The sequence below is a fragment of the Homo sapiens genome, chromosome 8 (assembly GCF_000001405.40).
Source record: "Homo sapiens chromosome 8, GRCh38.p14 Primary Assembly".
In the NCBI taxonomy this organism is placed as follows: domain Eukaryota; kingdom Metazoa; phylum Chordata; class Mammalia; order Primates; family Hominidae; genus Homo; species Homo sapiens.
The window spans coordinates 93,916,649-93,933,661 of NC_000008.11; the positions used below are offsets into that span (position 1 = coordinate 93,916,649).

Genomic DNA, 17,013 nt, shown 5'->3' on the forward strand with positions numbered 1-17,013 from the left:
CTCCCTAGCGCCGCGCAGCCACACCTTCCACTCGCTGGGGGCGGGGGGGGGGGGGTCACGTGAGGCGGGCCCGGGGAACCAATGGGCGGCTCGCGCCGAATGGAAGGGATTGTCTGACCCCCGTGACGTCACAAAGCTGGCGGGGAGCGCGCTCCTCTTCCGCCCCCGCCCCACCCCCGGCCGCAGCCCTCTCCGCCTCCCCTCCCACTCGTCACTGCGCAGCCAATCGGCAGGCGGGAAGCACTCCGGCCCGAACGTGCGGGCGGGGCAGGGTGGCGGCCCCGCACGGTAGGGGAGCAGAGTGGGCAGGCCGGGGGTGAGGGCTCGCGCTCCGGGAGCTGCACGGGGCTGCGTGGAAAGAGCGCCGAGCGGTGGCGTCGTTGTCGCCCCCTCCTCGTCGGGAAGAATCGTTTGGTCTCCTGCCGTGCCCGGTTCGTATTCCCTACTCCCTGCCACGAGCCGCCCCGTCCGGGATCCTCCACCCGTCCAAAGTTGTGAGGGGGCGCCGGGCGTGCTCGCGGATCGGCGGCCGCGGGCGTGCGGAGGGCTGGACGAGCCCTGGAGCGCCAGGTGCGCGCCGGGCGTCCGGGCTGTGGGGCGGGCGTGGCGGCGCTGGGGGCCGTCGGGGGGCTGGGGGCGGGGGCGGGGGCGCCGTGCAGCCCTAGCGTCTTCCGGCCCCTGCGCTCCAGCTGTCAGCACGAAGGGCGCCGCGGGGCCGGCGGCAGAGTGAGCTCCAGGGAGGCTGTAGGGCTGCGGCACTGCCTGAGGGTCTCCCTGACGCACCCCGGGTCAGGGCTGGCCCCGCTGGCAGCCTGACACCGGCCGGCCCCTGTTCGTCTGGACTGAAACGGGCACCCCTGGGGCGGGGCCGGGCCGGGCAGGGCGGGGCGGGCAGCGGGCGGGGCTGCAGTCCATGGGCTTCGCGCCCCGGCTGGATGGAGGGGCTGGCCCTCGGGGCGCACCCCTGCTCGCGCCTGGGCCCCGCTGCCTTGGGCTGTGGCTTTGCCTCCCCGGCGGGGTGGGTTGGTTTGGTTGGCTTCCTTGTTCTCTCCACCCCTTTATCCCTCCTCCATCCTCTTCCCCCCCACCTCCCAGCCCATTCACCGGGCTGGAGCGAGACCTCGCCCCTCCTCCGCTCCCGCCTCCCCGCCGCCGCCTCCTCTAATGAGCATCTCTGCCTTGCTTTCAATGGGCCGGTGCTGCTGTCGCTGCTGCTGCCCGCGCGGGTTGTGGATGTTGTCGGCTCCGTGTTGTGATGACAGGAGAATGTGTGTGTGTCCCGGGCCCAGACGAATTGGTAGGTATTCACTTAACTACCTGCGTTGGGTACCCAGGAAGGATGGTGACAGATTTTTGTGTATGGATGGTTTTAGATGAATCAGCGTGGTATTAAGGGATGAGATAGATTGGAAAAAGGGACAAACGCGTCTTGGATTGAGATAGCTTTGATGTCTTTGTGAGTGCAGTTTTTCAGGTAGCGACAAAGGAAACTAATCAAAAAAATACTGGCGTGTGGTGCTTCGTATCTTTCTTCATTTATGTAAAAAGATAGCAGGAGCTGTGAAATGGCTAGGCATTTCCAGAAAAATGTTGAAAAATCGCGGATGGTCTTTATGTAGAGTGTTTAATGCAATCGGATTACATAAACTGGGGTTCCGACACATTAAATGATTAGCATAGCTTTTCTTTTTCATTTACATCAGAAGCTTTGCAAAGCTAAAGGGCTCTGGAGTCGGTGCCTTAATAGCATTTGCTAATTAATTTGGTCCGTGGGTCTATTGATGGAGTGGAAAAAATGTCTTGGCACAGGCTCTGCTAAGCACATCAGTAAGAATGGACGGCTCTCTTTCCTGTTTCTGGTTGCAGTGCATCTTTCTTTATTAGTCATTGGCAAAATCAGCCCAATCTGCCTGGGATGAAGATGCTACATACAACGTGGCTGAGTCTAGATCATGGAATAGGAAATTTTCCGTGAAAATTGTGATCAAGAATAACTTGCAAATTTGACACTGCTCTGTTTTACCAACAGTTGTACCTGGATGCTGTTCTTATTGCCTGATCAAGAGCCTTCTACACTAATTTAACAAGCTTGTCAGCAAAAGTTATGATGTAGAGTGTTTTCTTGTTGTTGAATCAGTGGATAATCTGAAGGATATTAAGAGTTTTTCATTGCTTACTTATTTATGAAAGCATTTGAAAGTACTTTGACTCCCAAGGGTATCTGATCTGATGGAGAGAATGTATCACTTGTACCGATGCGGATAGAACGCTCATTAATTACAGCACAGTTTTCATAAATTCCAACTTCCCTAGGAATTTTGTCTTTTGAAGGCATGTTGGAAGTTGGGGCATTAGGATATAATCTCAGTCCATGTACTAAGCCTCTGCATAACTGAAAGATAGAGTCAATAAAATTCACTCTCTCATTTTTTGTTTTTAATCTCAAGAATTTTTGCCTTGAAGGAAAAATGTAGTGGAGAATTTGATGTTTGAACGTAAGTATTGTTAAAAGCACCTGCTGTGTCAATCATTGCTTTTTGTCACTAGATTTCATTCATTTTGCAGTCAATTACAAAAGTAGAAAAGATGTCATACCAAGCCGGGTGCAGTGGCTCATGCCTGTAATCCCAGCACTTTGGGAGGCTGAGGCGGGTGGATGGCCTGAGGTCAGGAGTTCGAGACCAACCTGACCAACATGGTGAAACCCCATCTCTACTGAAAATACAGAATTAGCCGGGCAGGAGAATCGCTTGAACCAGGGAGGCGGAGGTTGCGATGAGCTGAGATCACGCCATTGCACTTCAGCCTGGGCAACAAGAGCAAAATTCCTCCCCCCGCTGCCCTCCCTCCCCCCCCCCGGCAAAAAAATGTCGAAGCAAAGGAATTTAAGGAAAGTGCAGGTTTCCAGGACTTGTTATTCCTTAATTAAACAATCAAACCCTGTTATGCATCTATCAACCCTCCCTCCCCCCCACACAAATAGTATTTTGAGTCAGTTTACGTTCCATACAGGCACATTTTCATTGTTTTTTTCTGTAAGATTCTTAAGTTTTAAAGAAAGAGCAAATGCAGTCATAAAATTATGAAGAAAAATTCATTAAGATTACATTAGTTTACATTTTTAATGATAGAAAACCTTTATTCAAAGCACAAAATGAGTTGATATGCTTTCTGCACGCAAACCTAAAAAGAGATATGGTTTAAGTATGGAAGCCACTGTCATGTGGCCCAACATTTGAGCACATCTTCTGGCTCAGTCATGTACACTTAACCTCTGGATGACTTTCAGGTATTCAGTTTGAATTTCTTTTATTTAAATGGTTACTCCTGATGGATTCCCGTTTTTCTGGAATTTCTGTTTTTCATTAGTGCATTTCAGAATGCTTTTTTAGTTACGGATTCTTATTTCCAAAATTTTAGCCATTACTTTCTATTGCCTGATCTTGTCTTCATTTTCGTAAACAAATCCCTTCTTAGATAGTGCAGTTAAAATGATGGTACTTTCTACTACTTGCAGAAGAGAATCTGTGTGGCTGGCTTATGCAGTGCTTATTACAGAAACAAACAAGAATCAGTGATTATTCAGTGTTTAGTTTTCTTTGCTTCCCTCTACCCCAATTTATTACTTTTTCTCAAATTATTCTTCAAAAAAGGTACATGAAAATAATATATGGCTGACACATGCTATGATATTTGTTTAGCCGTGGGAAGGAATAGTTGCTATTAACTCAGATGGTTTTATTTTCTGTGTTCCTTTTTGTTTATTGCATTTGTTTATTTAAAGTATTTCCAAAGTGTTTCTTTATAGTACAAATGACTATTTTGAAGCAGTATCTCAAGAATTCAGGGAAAATATATGTTATTGAGGAAGAAGAGGGATTTTTTTTCTTGCCCAAATTATCTAGATTAATGATATATTCATTAAATTTCCCAAATAAATGCCCAGAAATTATTTTCAGCGCACATAGTGAGTGATAGGATTTTTTTTAAGTTTGTAATTATATTGCTGTACCTTTTCAATCCAAACCTTAGACTATTATTTGACTATACTGCTTCCCTGGAGCAAGTAAATACCTTTTTTTTTTTTTTTTAATGTGAGAGAAAACATTTTTGGTCTTTTAAAATTTATTTTTAATTTACAATTGACACATAATATTATATATTTATGGGGTACAATGTGATGTTTCAGTGCATGTATATATTGGTAGACATTGTGTAATGATCAAATCAGAGTGATTACCATATCCAAGAAAACATTTTTCTAGGGGTTAATTCTACTTTGGATCCATAGTAGATGAAAATACTTCTATGGGTTTTCCTTATAGCTGCTAAGCAGGGAACATTGTTAGTAGGTAAATTAAGTTCTAGGACTGAAACCATTTATGTTACTAACAAAGCTTTAGAGCTACTGCAATACTTAAACTTTTTTTTTTTTTTTAATCATGAAGGGCACGGTAGAATTCAACAGTGAATAAATGAAACCTGAATTTTATTTAAAAACCTCACTTCCATAAGCATAAAGGCATGAATCCTAGAAGAGCCTTAGATAGCATCTGCTCTGTTGATGTTCCTTTACAGGTTAGAAGAGTGAGACTCAAAGATGTGAGCTGACTTTTCCAAGATTATTTGGGAGTTGGTGGCAGACCTATGCCCGTTAGCCTGGCAAATTGCCACAGTGGACTAGAGAAGCAAGTTTTGCAAGACCATCTACTGGGGTACAGGAGAGAAATACTGGAATTTCTTTTTTTATTTAATTATGTAGAAATTTTTCTATATATGTTACAATGCATATTACTGTAGTCATATATGTATATGATGTACACGTAATTCATAAATACACATATGTTTGGCTGCCTCTTAACATTTTTGGTCATAGCCATGTGTAATCATGCCAAAAATTGACCACAGGTCTATGTAAAGGGTCTTCATAAATGGAAGAAGTCCCTGTGTAAAATGGGAGATTTCAAGGCATTTTTTAAGAATAGGGAGGGAGAAGGATGATTGGTCAGGTAGACGGCTACTGCATAATGTTATATAACCTTCATCTCCTCAGCTTTCCCCAGCCAAATCTGTTGTACATTCTGCACAGTTTGTACTGCACAAAGGACGACAAAGAAAAGAGAAAATTGAAGTTTGAGTATAGGAGCCAGGAGTTCAGTCGTGGTTCCACGAATGATTGGGAGTTGTGCCTGCCAGAATATACCCTGTAGAAATAGTACATGATGTGTGTATAAAATGTAGTACCTTCTAGCAAAGGCTTAACATGTAGATTGACTTGCTTAATATTTGTTATAAAGGCAAAGCTAGATTAAGTATCCTGAAATGTAACTCTTTCCTTTGTGTACATCTGTCTAATTTGCTGTCTAGGAATCCCAGTCAGAAGTTCCAGCCTGCCACTGTTCTCTGATGCCATGCCAGCACCAACTCAACTGTTTTTTCCTCTCATCCGTAACTGTGAACTGAGCAGGATCTATGGCACTGCATGTTACTGCCACCACAAACATCTCTGTTGTTCCTCATCGTACATTCCTCAGAGTCGACTGAGATACACACCTCATCCAGCATATGCTACCTTTTGCAGGCCAAAGGAGAACTGGTGGCAGTACACCCAAGGAAGGAGATATGCTTCCACACCACAGAAATTTTACCTCACACCTCCACAAGTCAATAGCATCCTTAAAGCTAATGAATACAGTTTCAAAGTGCCAGAATTTGACGGCAAAAATGTCAGTTCTATCCTTGGATTTGACAGCAATCAGCTGCCTGCAAATGCACCCATTGAGGACCGGAGAAGTGCAGCAACCTGCTTGCAGACCAGAGGGATGCTTTTGGGGGTTTTTGATGGCCATGCAGGTTGTGCTTGTTCCCAGGCAGTCAGTGAAAGACTCTTTTATTATATTGCTGTCTCTTTGTTACCCCATGAGACTTTGCTAGAGATTGAAAATGCAGTGGAGAGCGGCCGGGCACTGCTACCCATTCTCCAGTGGCACAAGCACCCCAATGATTACTTTAGTAAGGAGGCATCCAAATTGTACTTTAACAGCTTGAGGACTTACTGGCAAGAGCTTATAGACCTCAACACTGGTGAGTCGACTGATATTGATGTTAAGGAGGCTCTAATTAATGCCTTCAAGAGGCTTGATAATGACATCTCCTTGGAGGCGCAAGTTGGTGATCCTAATTCTTTTCTCAACTACCTGGTGCTTCGAGTGGCATTTTCTGGAGCCACTGCTTGTGTGGCCCATGTGGATGGTGTTGACCTTCATGTGGCCAATACTGGCGATAGCAGAGCCATGCTGGGTGTGCAGGAAGAGGACGGCTCATGGTCAGCAGTCACGCTGTCTAATGACCACAATGCTCAAAATGAAAGAGAACTAGAACGGCTGAAATTGGAACATCCAAAGAGTGAGGCCAAGAGTGTCGTGAAACAGGATCGGCTGCTTGGCTTGCTGATGCCATTTAGGGCATTTGGAGATGTAAAGTTCAAATGGAGCATTGACCTTCAAAAGAGAGTGATAGAATCTGGCCCAGACCAGTTGAATGACAATGAATATACCAAGTTTATTCCTCCTAATTATCACACACCTCCTTATCTCACTGCTGAGCCAGAGGTAACTTACCACCGATTAAGGCCACAGGATAAGTTTCTGGTGTTGGCTACTGATGGGTTGTGGGAGACTATGCATAGGCAGGATGTGGTTAGGATTGTGGGTGAGTACCTAACTGGCATGCATCACCAACAGCCAATAGCTGTTGGTGGCTACAAGGTGACTCTGGGACAGATGCATGGCCTTTTAACAGAAAGGAGAACCAAAATGTCCTCGGTATTTGAGGATCAGAACGCAGCAACCCATCTCATTCGCCACGCTGTGGGCAACAACGAGTTTGGGACTGTTGATCATGAGCGCCTCTCTAAAATGCTTAGTCTTCCTGAAGAGCTTGCTCGAATGTACAGAGATGACATTACAATCATTGTAGTTCAGTTCAATTCTCATGTTGTAGGGGCGTATCAAAACCAAGAATAGTGAGTGGCTCTTTCACTGGCAATTCTCAAATGATATACATTTAAAGGGCAGATTTTTTAAAAAGATACTACTATAATAAACATTTCCAGTTGGTCATTCTAAGCATTTACCCTTTTGATACTCTAGCTAGTCAGGTACTCCAAATTGACTTTGCAGCAGGGTGGCAGGGTCAGGAGAGTCTGGTCCTGCCTAGCTCAGATTTCATGGCACCTGCACTTGAAGCAAGTCACTTCTTTATCACAGGTGTCTTGAAACATTAGCTTCTTTTACCAACCTGAGAAAATTAGGATGACCTGGCAAATAAGATCTTGAATAGGCCAAAAGCAAGTATCTTGCTGTGTGTAGTCTCTTGGTTAAAGTGAAGAAACAGTACTGTTCACACCTTTCTTCACTGAGATTCCAGTGTACATGAGAACATATATTTATTGCATGATTTTCTAGATACACAGTCTATGCATTATTCATATACATTTATTTTAGCCTAAAGTGGTTTTCAAATCCAGTTCTTCAAGCCATAAATGACCAAGATCCAAGCAATCTGAATTTGTTTTTGTGATTATTTGACTGGAATGCTTCTTAAGTGGAATAACTATACTCCGTTATCCACCCGATTTCCTAATGTAATTGAAAGATTTTCTATTTTGCCACACACTTGGAGACAATAAGGGTTTTTAGTTTTATCTACTCTTCTATTGAAGTTAAAGAAAGAAAAAAAGATTTTTTTATTTGTATTAATGAAAAGCTTTAGTTTAAAATAAGGAGATCCAGAATAAAAAGAAGAGACTGATCTCTTCAATTATTGTCATCTGTAGCCACCAGCACATCACTCTTATGTAATCCCCAAAGGCTTGGCATGCCGTAAGTGTGTGGTGGGTAGACTGCTGCCGGGGAATCGTACTTCTTATTTAGTAATGATAAGACTTTTCATTATTTTTGGAATTTTAAAGATGACATAAATAAGTTTAAATATCAATTTGGGGAGTAAGGTTTAATATTGCCATCGGGTATTGAGACAGGAGGAAGTTTCTGTTTTTCTCCATTTAGACATAGGTCAATTAAAATATTTGGGTTTAAAATGACTAAATGCTTTAAACATATTGTAGCTTAAGATATATGTGTTAAGATATATACATGAGAAACTTTAAAAGGTAACTACTGTGCATGCCTGATGCTTAATAGAATACTTAGTGGCATCAAATGTTTGCAGCAGTCTCCATAATTATATTCAGTCCCTTCTAATACTGTATCAATGTAAATGAAATAAATATATTCAAATTGGCTTTTTGATATGCATCAAGTGGCATTTTGTTCCTGTGTTTAATAGTGATCTGTATACAGCTGTGCACATATTGTCATCACTTATTCTAGCATCACTGTTAAGGCTGTGATTATGTTTGATATTCACCTGGATTTTAATACAAGCCAATATCAGCTTCCCATTGTGTAATAACTTGGGTGTTTAGGAGTCTTTTCACATTTTTTGGGGATATGAACTAGATGTTCAAGAACTCCTTCTGGACTGTGGATACTGAATCAGTGTACTATTGGCTGCAGAATTTGTTTCAATTGAAAATAGACTCAGGAAGATTGCTGCTCAGAATATCATATAATGTTTATTTTTTGAGGTGTTTTTGTTTTTATTTGTGTGTTTTTTTTTTTTTAAGTCAGCTTGGAACTTTTTTCCTGGGTAGTATTTGGGAGAGGGAAAGGCTGTACTATATATTTATTTCTAAATGTTTTGACTGGGCATTTTTCTTTTAATGAAATATGTGGACTGCTCTAGCAAACCCTATTTTCAGCTACTATTTGAATATTCTTGAACACCACCACTGAAGAGTTTCATATACACCAAATAATGTCTCATCTCTATAGTACAGGGAATATAAAATTGGTTTCCTGTGGTCATGATCAAGATAGTAGTATTATTACACAAGAAACTTGGTCTGCAGTCTGGAAGCTTGTCTGCTCTATAGAAATGAAAATGCAGCATGAAGTTGACATTGTGGAAATGAAAGTAATTGGGTATTAGAAATCTGAAAGTACTGTCATCTAAAAGCAATTGTGATTTTATTGTAATTGGTTGTCACTGTTGTACGGTGTCTAGAATTAAAGAATACATGTAAACTTTCATGGTATTTAGCCTTTCTTAAATTTTTTTAAAATTTAAACTTTCTAACCTATGTATTCAACTTCTGTATTTATATTTAATCAGTGGTTCATGTTATATAATACACCCTTAACTAGTTAAATGGAATGTTGGTATGGTACAGAGTACCATATTGCTAAGAAAACTGTCTTATAAAAGATGTATATGTGTGAAGACATGAAAGTTTAATGTACAGAATGGTTGGAGAAATGCCTATGGTGAATTAAAGCTTCATATCTGCTTTCTGAATGTCCTGTGTTGGTTTTTAATAACAAGATTGATTAGATGCTTCCTATGTGTGGTAGATTATATTTAATTTTAGGACCCAGTAGATACATAGTACTTCAAATTTGTAAAAATTGAGGTAAAATTTTTTTTCTTTTTTTTTTGAGATGGAGTCTCGCTCTGTCACCCAGGCTGGAGTGCAGTGGTGCGATCTCATCTTACTGCAGCCTCTGCCTCCTGGGTTCAAGCAGTTCTTCTGCCTCAGCCTCCCAAGTAGCTGGGACTACAGGTGCGGGCCACCACACCTGGCTAATTTTTGTATTTTTAGTAGAGATGGGGTTTCACCATGTTGGCCAGGCTGGTCTTCAACTCCTGACCTTGTGATCCACCCGCCTCGGCCTCCCAAAGTGTTTGGATTACAGGTGTGAGCCACCATGCCTGGCCAAAATTGAGGTATAATTTAAACAAAATGCACAGATTTAAAATTTGCGATGTAACATTTGGTAACACCCCAACAAAGATATAAAACTTTTTCTTCAGAAAATTCCCTATGCCCCTTTCCATTAATCCCTCCCCTCATAAGTATCATTCCACTTCTCTCACCATAATTTTGCTTCTAGAAATTTATATAAATCATACATGTACTTTTTTTTTTTTTCAGACAGTCTTGCTCTGTCGCCCTGGCTGGAGTGCATGATCTCGGCTCACTGCAGCCTCCGCATCCTGGGTTTGAGCAATCATCCTGCCTCAGCCTCCCAAGTAGATGGGACTACAAGCATGTGCCACCACACATGGCTAACTTTTGTATTTTTGGTGGAGACGGGATTTCACCATGTTAGCCAGACTGGTCTCAAACTCCTGACCTCAAGTGATCTGCCCACATCAGCCTCCCAAAGTACTGGGATCACAGGCGTAAGCCACTGCACCTGGCCCACATATGTACTTTTTATGTTTTACTTTTGCTCAATTTTTGGAGATTCACTTATGTTGTTGATTGTATTCATAGTCTGTTCCTTATTACTGGGTAGCATTCCAGTGTTTGAATGTATCACAATTTATCCATTCTCTATTGATGGATGTTGTCAGTCTCCCCCTGCCCCCCTTTAAAGATAATTTTTAGATTAATAATTCTCAGAAATGCTGTTTGGTTAAGGTGTAGCTTTAACTTTGCAAATAATGATTACAGGTAAGTTTTCTGTTAAAGCTTTGATGATAGGACCCTTAATGCCCTTAAAACAAATGGTGGGAATTTTTCATGGTGAAAAGTTCAGTGGGATTAAGGCGTGGCCCTTTGCTATTGGCCTCTTTGTTCCTCTCCCACTGAGAAGTTTGTTGAGTTCATTAAGCTTGGTAGATGATTGTGTTAATGACAAATTGAGAAAATGGCAAATTATACCTTGGTGGGTTTTTTGTCTTTTTTAAGAGAGTCTCACTCTGTTACCTAGACTGGCATGTAGTGGTGTGATCACAGCTTATTGCAACCTCAACCTCCTAAGCTCATATAGCTTGGTTTTTGATGGTTTGGGTTTATCACTGCATTGGCCATAGCTATGACTAGGGATGAGGAAGGAAGAGGATGAAGTGCTGACTGTTGGGGATGGGGTGACTGACTTGAGTATTTCTGCTTTCATTAAACAAAGTTAACACTGCTTAGAATGAGCTTCCATGTTCACTAGTCAAACAAATACCTGAATGTGGGTTGTTCATTTGTCCTTGGGTATAGCAAGAGGATCTAGGTAACTGTTATTCTCTCTATAGGTTGACATATTTAATTCTGACCTTTTTCATAAATACTAGAGCAATAGCTATTCATTGTAGAGTTTTTCAGACCTTCAAAAGTTACATTCTGTTAAAATTGATGCAGTGGTGCTTTTACTACCTAAACAAGCTGAATAAATGAAGACGTTTTATGGCATCAGAATTGGCTTGTTACAGTATGAAAATCATTTCCTGTTTTCCTTTCAGAATGTACTTTAAAAGGCAAGCTTAAACCTATTAAATCCTGTCTGTCCAGTTCTTACGACAATGCAGTTTATAACCCTGGATTGAATCATAATGCATAGCATTATTTTCTAAATAGCTCTCAAATTACAAGTCTTCAAAACAAATATATTAGGAATGATGAAATTTGTATACTCCATATGCCATTAAAAATGGTTATCCATGGCCAGGCATGGTGGCTCACACCTGTAATCCCAGCACTTTGGGAGGCCAAGGCGGGTGGATCACAAGGTCAGGAGATCGAGACCATCCTGGCTAACACGGTGAAACCCCATCTCTACTAAAAATACAAAAAATTAGCCGGGCGTTGTGGTGGGCGCCTGTAGTCCCAGCTACTCGGGAGGCTGAGGCAGGAGAATGGCGTGAACCTGGGAGGCGGAGCTTGCAGTGAGCCAAGATTGCACCACTAAACTCCAGCCTGGGCGACAGACAGAGCAACACTCCATCTCAAAAAAAAAAAAAAAAAAAAAAAGGGTTATCCAATGCATGTATATTAAGGTCCACACAATTTAGGCTCAGTTATTTAGCCAATATTTAGGTTCATAAATGGTCCCCATCCAACCCTTGACTCCCAGAAGCTCCCTATGCACAGAATGAGAGAAGCGTTCCTTTGAGGGTCCACCAGGAACTGTAGCTGCTATTTGTGAGTATCAGGTACCCAGCTCCAAAAGGACTGGATATTTCATCTTAGTTTACCTTACTACCCCTACCCAAAGGCGGGTGGAGGAGACAGTTTTCTATCCAGGATCCTGCCCAGACTCATGAGTTCTCTGCTTTTCTTTCTTTTCTTTTCTTTTTTTTTTCTTTTTGAGAGAGAGCTTCACTCTTCTTGCCTAGGCTGGAGTGCAGTGGTACAATCTAGGCTCACTACAACCGCCTCCTGGGTTCAAGCGATTCTCCTGCCTCAGCCTTCCGAGTAGCTGGGATTGCAGGCATGTGCCACTACACCTGGCTAATTTTGTATTTTTAGTAGAGACAGAGTTTCTCCATGTTGGTCAGGCTGGTCTCGAACTTCCGACTTCAGATGATCTGCCTGCCTCGGTCTCCCAAAGTGCTGGGATTACAGACGTGAGCCACTGTGCCCAGCCAGTTCCCTGCTTTTCTAAAATATACCCGGTTCACTGACTTTCTGCCTGTAACAGATGCTCAAAGTGCACAAATACTAAAGTGTGAGGTTAGTGATCACATTCAGCCTTTCAGAAACTTTAAACCCTGGGCACTAGCAACAAGCAGTCAAGAAGAGTCAACTAAAGATTTTATCTCATCTGTGGCGATGAACCAGATTGTCTTTTTGAAGGCCAGGAACTGTTTTATTTGCTGGCAGTGTTGCCTCAGAGACCAGCCTTCCAGCGTGAACACTGAGAAGAATGGGAAATGTGACAAGAGACCTAAGCTGGGAAAAACAAGAAAAGTGAGGGAAGGGAAAGAATGGTATTGGCAATTGCTGTAGTGATTACAGAGGCAGTAATGGGGTCAGGGAGCACCAGATCCTAATACTTTGGAACAGTGACAAGGATGAGAGCAAAGCACCGGAAAGACAGCAGTGAGCTAAATAGTAACAAGGTAAAGGACTTTAAAAATCATTTTTGGCCAGGCACGATGGCTCATGTCTGTAATCTCAGCACTTTGGGAGGCTGAGGTGGGTGAATCACCTGAGGTCAGGAGTTCAAGAGCCCCCTGGCCAACGTGGCGAAACCCCATCTCTACTAAAAATACAAAAAAATTAGTTGGGCATGGTGGTGCATACCTATAATCCCAGCTACTTGGGAGGCTGAGACAGGAGACTCACTTGAACCCGGGAGGCGGAGGCTGCAGTGAGCCAAGATTGTGCCACTGCACTCCAGCCTGGTGACAGAGCAAGACTCCGTCTCAAAAAAAAAAAAAAAAGGCCGGGCACGGTGGCTCACACCTTTAATCCCAGCACTTTGGGAGGCCGAGGAGGGCAGATCACAAGGTCAGGAGATTGAGGCCATCCTGGCTAACACAGTGAAACCCCGTCTCTACTAAAAATACAAAAAAATTAGCCAGGCGTGGCGGCGTGCGCCTGTAGTTCCAGCTGCTGGGGAGGCTGAGGCAGGAGAATGGCATGAACCCGGGAGGCGGAGCTTGCAGTGAGCTGAGATCACACCACTGCACTCCAGCCTGGGCGACAGAGCAAGACTCTGTCTCAAAAAAAAAACAATCATTTTTCAACCCTTATGTGCACATATTTTATGGTAGGGCAGCAGCAATTGACATTAGCATGGCCATTTAGTCCTGGTCCATTAGATAAGCAAAAAGGAAAGTCTTTGAAACTGACCACATGGAGAGGGATCTGTGGTACCCAGAAGGATAGTTTTCTCCAAAGAACTTTGCTTAGAAATTATTTTTCTTTGCTCCAAACCTGTAGATAAGTTAAATAGCCTAATTTAGCCTGATGAAAACAGAGATGGGATCATTAAGGCCCTGGTGTCAGTAGAGACAGAGCTGTGAGACCGAGCAGGCCAGAGAGAATGAGGTTTATTAAAGCAGGGCCTTGTTGACCATAAAGTCAGAGCCCTGTGGCTCTGGGCATAACCAGAAAACACACTGATGTTGCAGCCATACTAATACTAACAGTAATCACAACCGTTGTTTCTTGTGTACCTACTATGTGCCTGGTTCTGTGAAAAGTACACTGTGTACATGTTCTCATTTTATCCTTGTGCCAGGTAGTGTCTGGCCCTTCAATCCCTTCTCTGGCTGTCCCTGCCCTGCTCTGTGGACCAGGAAGCCAGACCCTACAGGCTGTAGCTCCCAGGGCTCATTTGCCTCCTGATTGCCATTTCAGTTCAACCAACAGGTAACACCAGCAGATGATCAGAGGGTGGGATGAGAGAGAGGCTGGGATATTTCTTCCTTATTCCCTCCATGCTGTGGGCTGCATCTCCAGCCTTAGCTGTAACTCTCACACTGTACTGCTCGTCTTCCATGATTCCAAGCCTCAGTGGGCCCAGGTAACATTATTTTCTTCCGTTGTCCTTTCAGCCTTAGGGAGGGTAATGACTTCTACTGTTGCTAGTCTCCTGGTGCCCCACCATCCTTTGTTTGTTCCTTTACTCTTGTTCAAATCTCTGTAAGAAATCCATTCATTTGAAACATCTAGGGTGAAGTCAGTTTCCTGCTGAGACCTGACCAACATAAGCTTCAAAGCAAGCTGAAGTATTATATCCTCTATTTTAGCCAGCACAAAGAGGCTAGGTAACACGTCCAGCATCACACACCAAACAAATTCACGTCTGTGTTTTTCAAAGCCGGCATGTTTAATCAACACAGCATGCTGCCTGGCCTCTCCATGTAACCAGAATGATTCCTTTGGAATCGAGAAAGCCTGAGGCCTAAGTGGCCAATAAGCAAGTGATTCCTTGAGAAGCAGAAACCAAGATTGACATAGCCCAGCAGTTAACATAGCACACAAGGAATGGAGCCCCACACAGATGGAAGGAGTGAGCTGGGTGCAGAAAAAACAGAATTATGGTTTTATAGGTTAGAACCAGTTGTTTCTCACTTAGCAGTGCATTGCATACACAGGTACATGTTTCTTAGTGCCTTGTTTCAATTGTCCAGGCACTGAGGATAGGTGTTAGGGGTGAAAGGTGGTTAAAAGGTAGGGTCTGCCTTCAAGGAGCTCACAGTTTGGAGGGAAAATTACCATTGCATAAAATAATAATTACCCTTTGGTAATTAGGGATGATTCAGAAACTGAGACAAATACAAAATTTCAACAATAATCCAGAAAAAAGAGTGACTCTGTCCTGATGTGCCATAGTGACAAGGCAGGCCCTAGAGAGTCAGGGAAGTTTCATTAGAAGGGACAGTGCTTGAGCAGAGATTTTAAAGGGGAAAAGGGGTTTGCCAGGCAGAAAAGAATCCAGGGGCCAGGCTTGGTGGCTCACGCCTGTAATCCCAGCACTTTGAGAGGCCGAGGTGGGTGGATCACCTGAGGTCAGGAGTTTGAGACCAGCCTGGCCAACATGGTGAAACCCCTTCTCTACTAAGAATACAAAAATTAGCCAGGTGTGGTGGCACATGCCTGTAATCCCAGTTACTTGGGAGGCTGAGGCAGGAGAATCGCTTAAACCCAGGAGGCAGAGGTTGCAGTGAGCCAAGATTGTGCCATTGCACTCCAACCTGGGTGACAGAGCAAGACTGTGTCTCAAACAAACAAACAAACAACAATTAAAAAAAAGAAGAGAATTGAGGGATGACTTTCTTGGAAGAAGGCAGAACTCGTGTTTGAAGAGCTCTGAGTGCCTTTCATATGGGTAGAACATGCACTGGTGGGGAGCTGTGGTGGGTGATGAGGTGGAAAGGTAGAAACAGCACAGAAGAGCCCTAAGCAAATACACAGTCACTCTGGAGCACTTTTGCAGCCAGCAAAACTTTAGAGACAGAACTGCTTGAGAAGGCAGAGGTCAACCAAGACAAGCATGGGATGCAAGAGTTGGTGGAGGCAGGCGTGGGAGGAAGAAGGACAAAGGAAGGTCAGCTGGACCCGTGCCAGGCTGAGATCTGGCTTCTAGCCACTCACAGATAGGAGCCTAGACGGATTTAAGTGAGGAAGTGTTGATGGTTAAACAAGAGAACATCCGTGTGATTTGCATATTGCCATTAGTCATTCGTGGGTCTGCAGTCAAATTTAGTAACCTGGTGTTTAATTCAAACATAGGCATATTTTTGTTCCCCTCAGTTCCTTGGCTACTATAGTACACTTACTGAACACTACTCAGGTATTGGGCAACTTAAAAGCCACTGAACCTGAGTAACCTACCAGCCATCCATCAAAGTCTTGGACCATGATAGCTGGATTGAATTACCAGCCACAGGCTGGTTCAGTCCAATCTAGCAAGTGTGTATTGGGTTCCTTCATTGTTTTAGGTACTAGGGATACGTGGTAATCAGCCTTCAGGATGGCTCTCAGTGACCCCTGCCTCCTGGTATTTACATCCTGCGTAGTCAATACACTCCTAGGATTGGGTTAGAGTATAGCAGATGAAATGGGATGGCCCTCCTGATATTAGATTGTAAAAAGACACTGCAGCTTCTGTCTTGGACACTGCTTTGCTCTTGGATAACTGACTCTAGGAAGAGCCATGCTGTGCGCAGCCTTCTAGAGAGGCCCATGGAGAAAGGGACTGAATCCTTCTTCCAACAATCACATGAGTGAACTTGGAAGCAGATTTTGCAGTCCCAGTGACGTCTTCATGGCTGCACCCTTAGTCAACAGCATGACTGTGACCTCATGAATGACCTTGAGCTAGAAAAGCTGCTATCAGGTTCTAAACCCTCAGAAACTGCGTGAGAAATAACTTTGTTGTTTTAGATGCTAAGATTTGAGTTAATTTGTTACACTTTTGAGAATTTTACAGTTTGGTCACACAGACACTGATTATTTGACTGTGTCTCCAACTTGGATTACCTGGTAAACAAGATGTGCAATGACCAAATAAGTCACATATTTAAAGGTCACTTGGGTTCAAAGAAATGGAGGTAGATCTATACATACTCTCATGAAAAGACTTCTGAGACATATGTAGTAGAACAAGTCAAATTGTATAATACGGTCTTTATTTTTATTTATTTTTTTTGAGACAGTCC

General features: G+C 43.3%; 1 protein-coding gene across 11 annotated transcripts, besides 3 other annotated features; it reads left to right on the forward strand.

Moving 5' to 3' along the window:
- Positions 16-355: a silencer, noted in NCBI's record as "silent region_19360". NCBI's record gives its function as "represses an Ori minimal core promoter by ATAC-STARR-seq in GM12878 lymphoblastoid cells {active_cell/tissue: GM12878}" and the evidence as "EXISTENCE:reporter gene assay evidence [ECO:0000049][PMID:35858748]".
- On the forward strand, positions 275-9,420 carry PDP1 (pyruvate dehydrogenase phosphatase catalytic subunit 1). Of its 11 annotated transcripts, XM_047421909.1 has the most exons (5): positions 907-1,018; positions 1,263-1,297; positions 2,448-2,495; positions 4,579-4,715; positions 5,368-9,420. In XM_047421909.1, the coding sequence occupies exon 5, from the start codon at positions 5,412-5,414 to the stop codon at positions 7,023-7,025; it is 1,614 nt and encodes a 537-aa protein (XP_047277865.1). In that variant the 5' UTR covers positions 907-1,018; positions 1,263-1,297; positions 2,448-2,495; positions 4,579-4,715; positions 5,368-5,411; the 3' UTR covers positions 7,026-9,420. The 11 variants fall into 11 exon arrangements, with proteins under 11 accessions (XP_047277861.1, XP_047277863.1, NP_001155251.1 ...); XM_047421905.1 differs by lacking the exons at positions 907-1,018; positions 4,579-4,715 and adding an exon at positions 275-431; XM_047421907.1 differs by lacking the exons at positions 907-1,018; positions 2,448-2,495 and adding an exon at positions 275-431.
- Positions 486-1,215: a silencer, noted in NCBI's record as "silent region_19361". NCBI's record gives its function as "represses an Ori minimal core promoter by ATAC-STARR-seq in GM12878 lymphoblastoid cells {active_cell/tissue: GM12878}" and the evidence as "EXISTENCE:reporter gene assay evidence [ECO:0000049][PMID:35858748]".
- Positions 16,028-16,077: a silencer, noted in NCBI's record as "silent region_19362". NCBI's record gives its function as "represses an Ori minimal core promoter by ATAC-STARR-seq in GM12878 lymphoblastoid cells {active_cell/tissue: GM12878}" and the evidence as "EXISTENCE:reporter gene assay evidence [ECO:0000049][PMID:35858748]".

Excerpts from the sequence above, each read along its gene's own strand:
- PDP1 (XM_017013588.2), top strand. The coding sequence starts at position 936 with ATGGAGGGGCTGGCCCTCGGGGCGCACCCCTGCTCGCGCCTGGGCCCC. Across the intron at positions 1,019-1,262 it reads GGCTTTGCCTCCCCGGCGGG|GAGAATGTGTGTGTGTCCCG; the intron begins GTGGGTTGGTTT and ends TTGTGATGACAG. Across the intron at positions 1,298-5,367 it reads TCCCGGGCCCAGACGAATTG|GAATCCCAGTCAGAAGTTCC; the intron begins GTAGGTATTCAC and ends TTTGCTGTCTAG.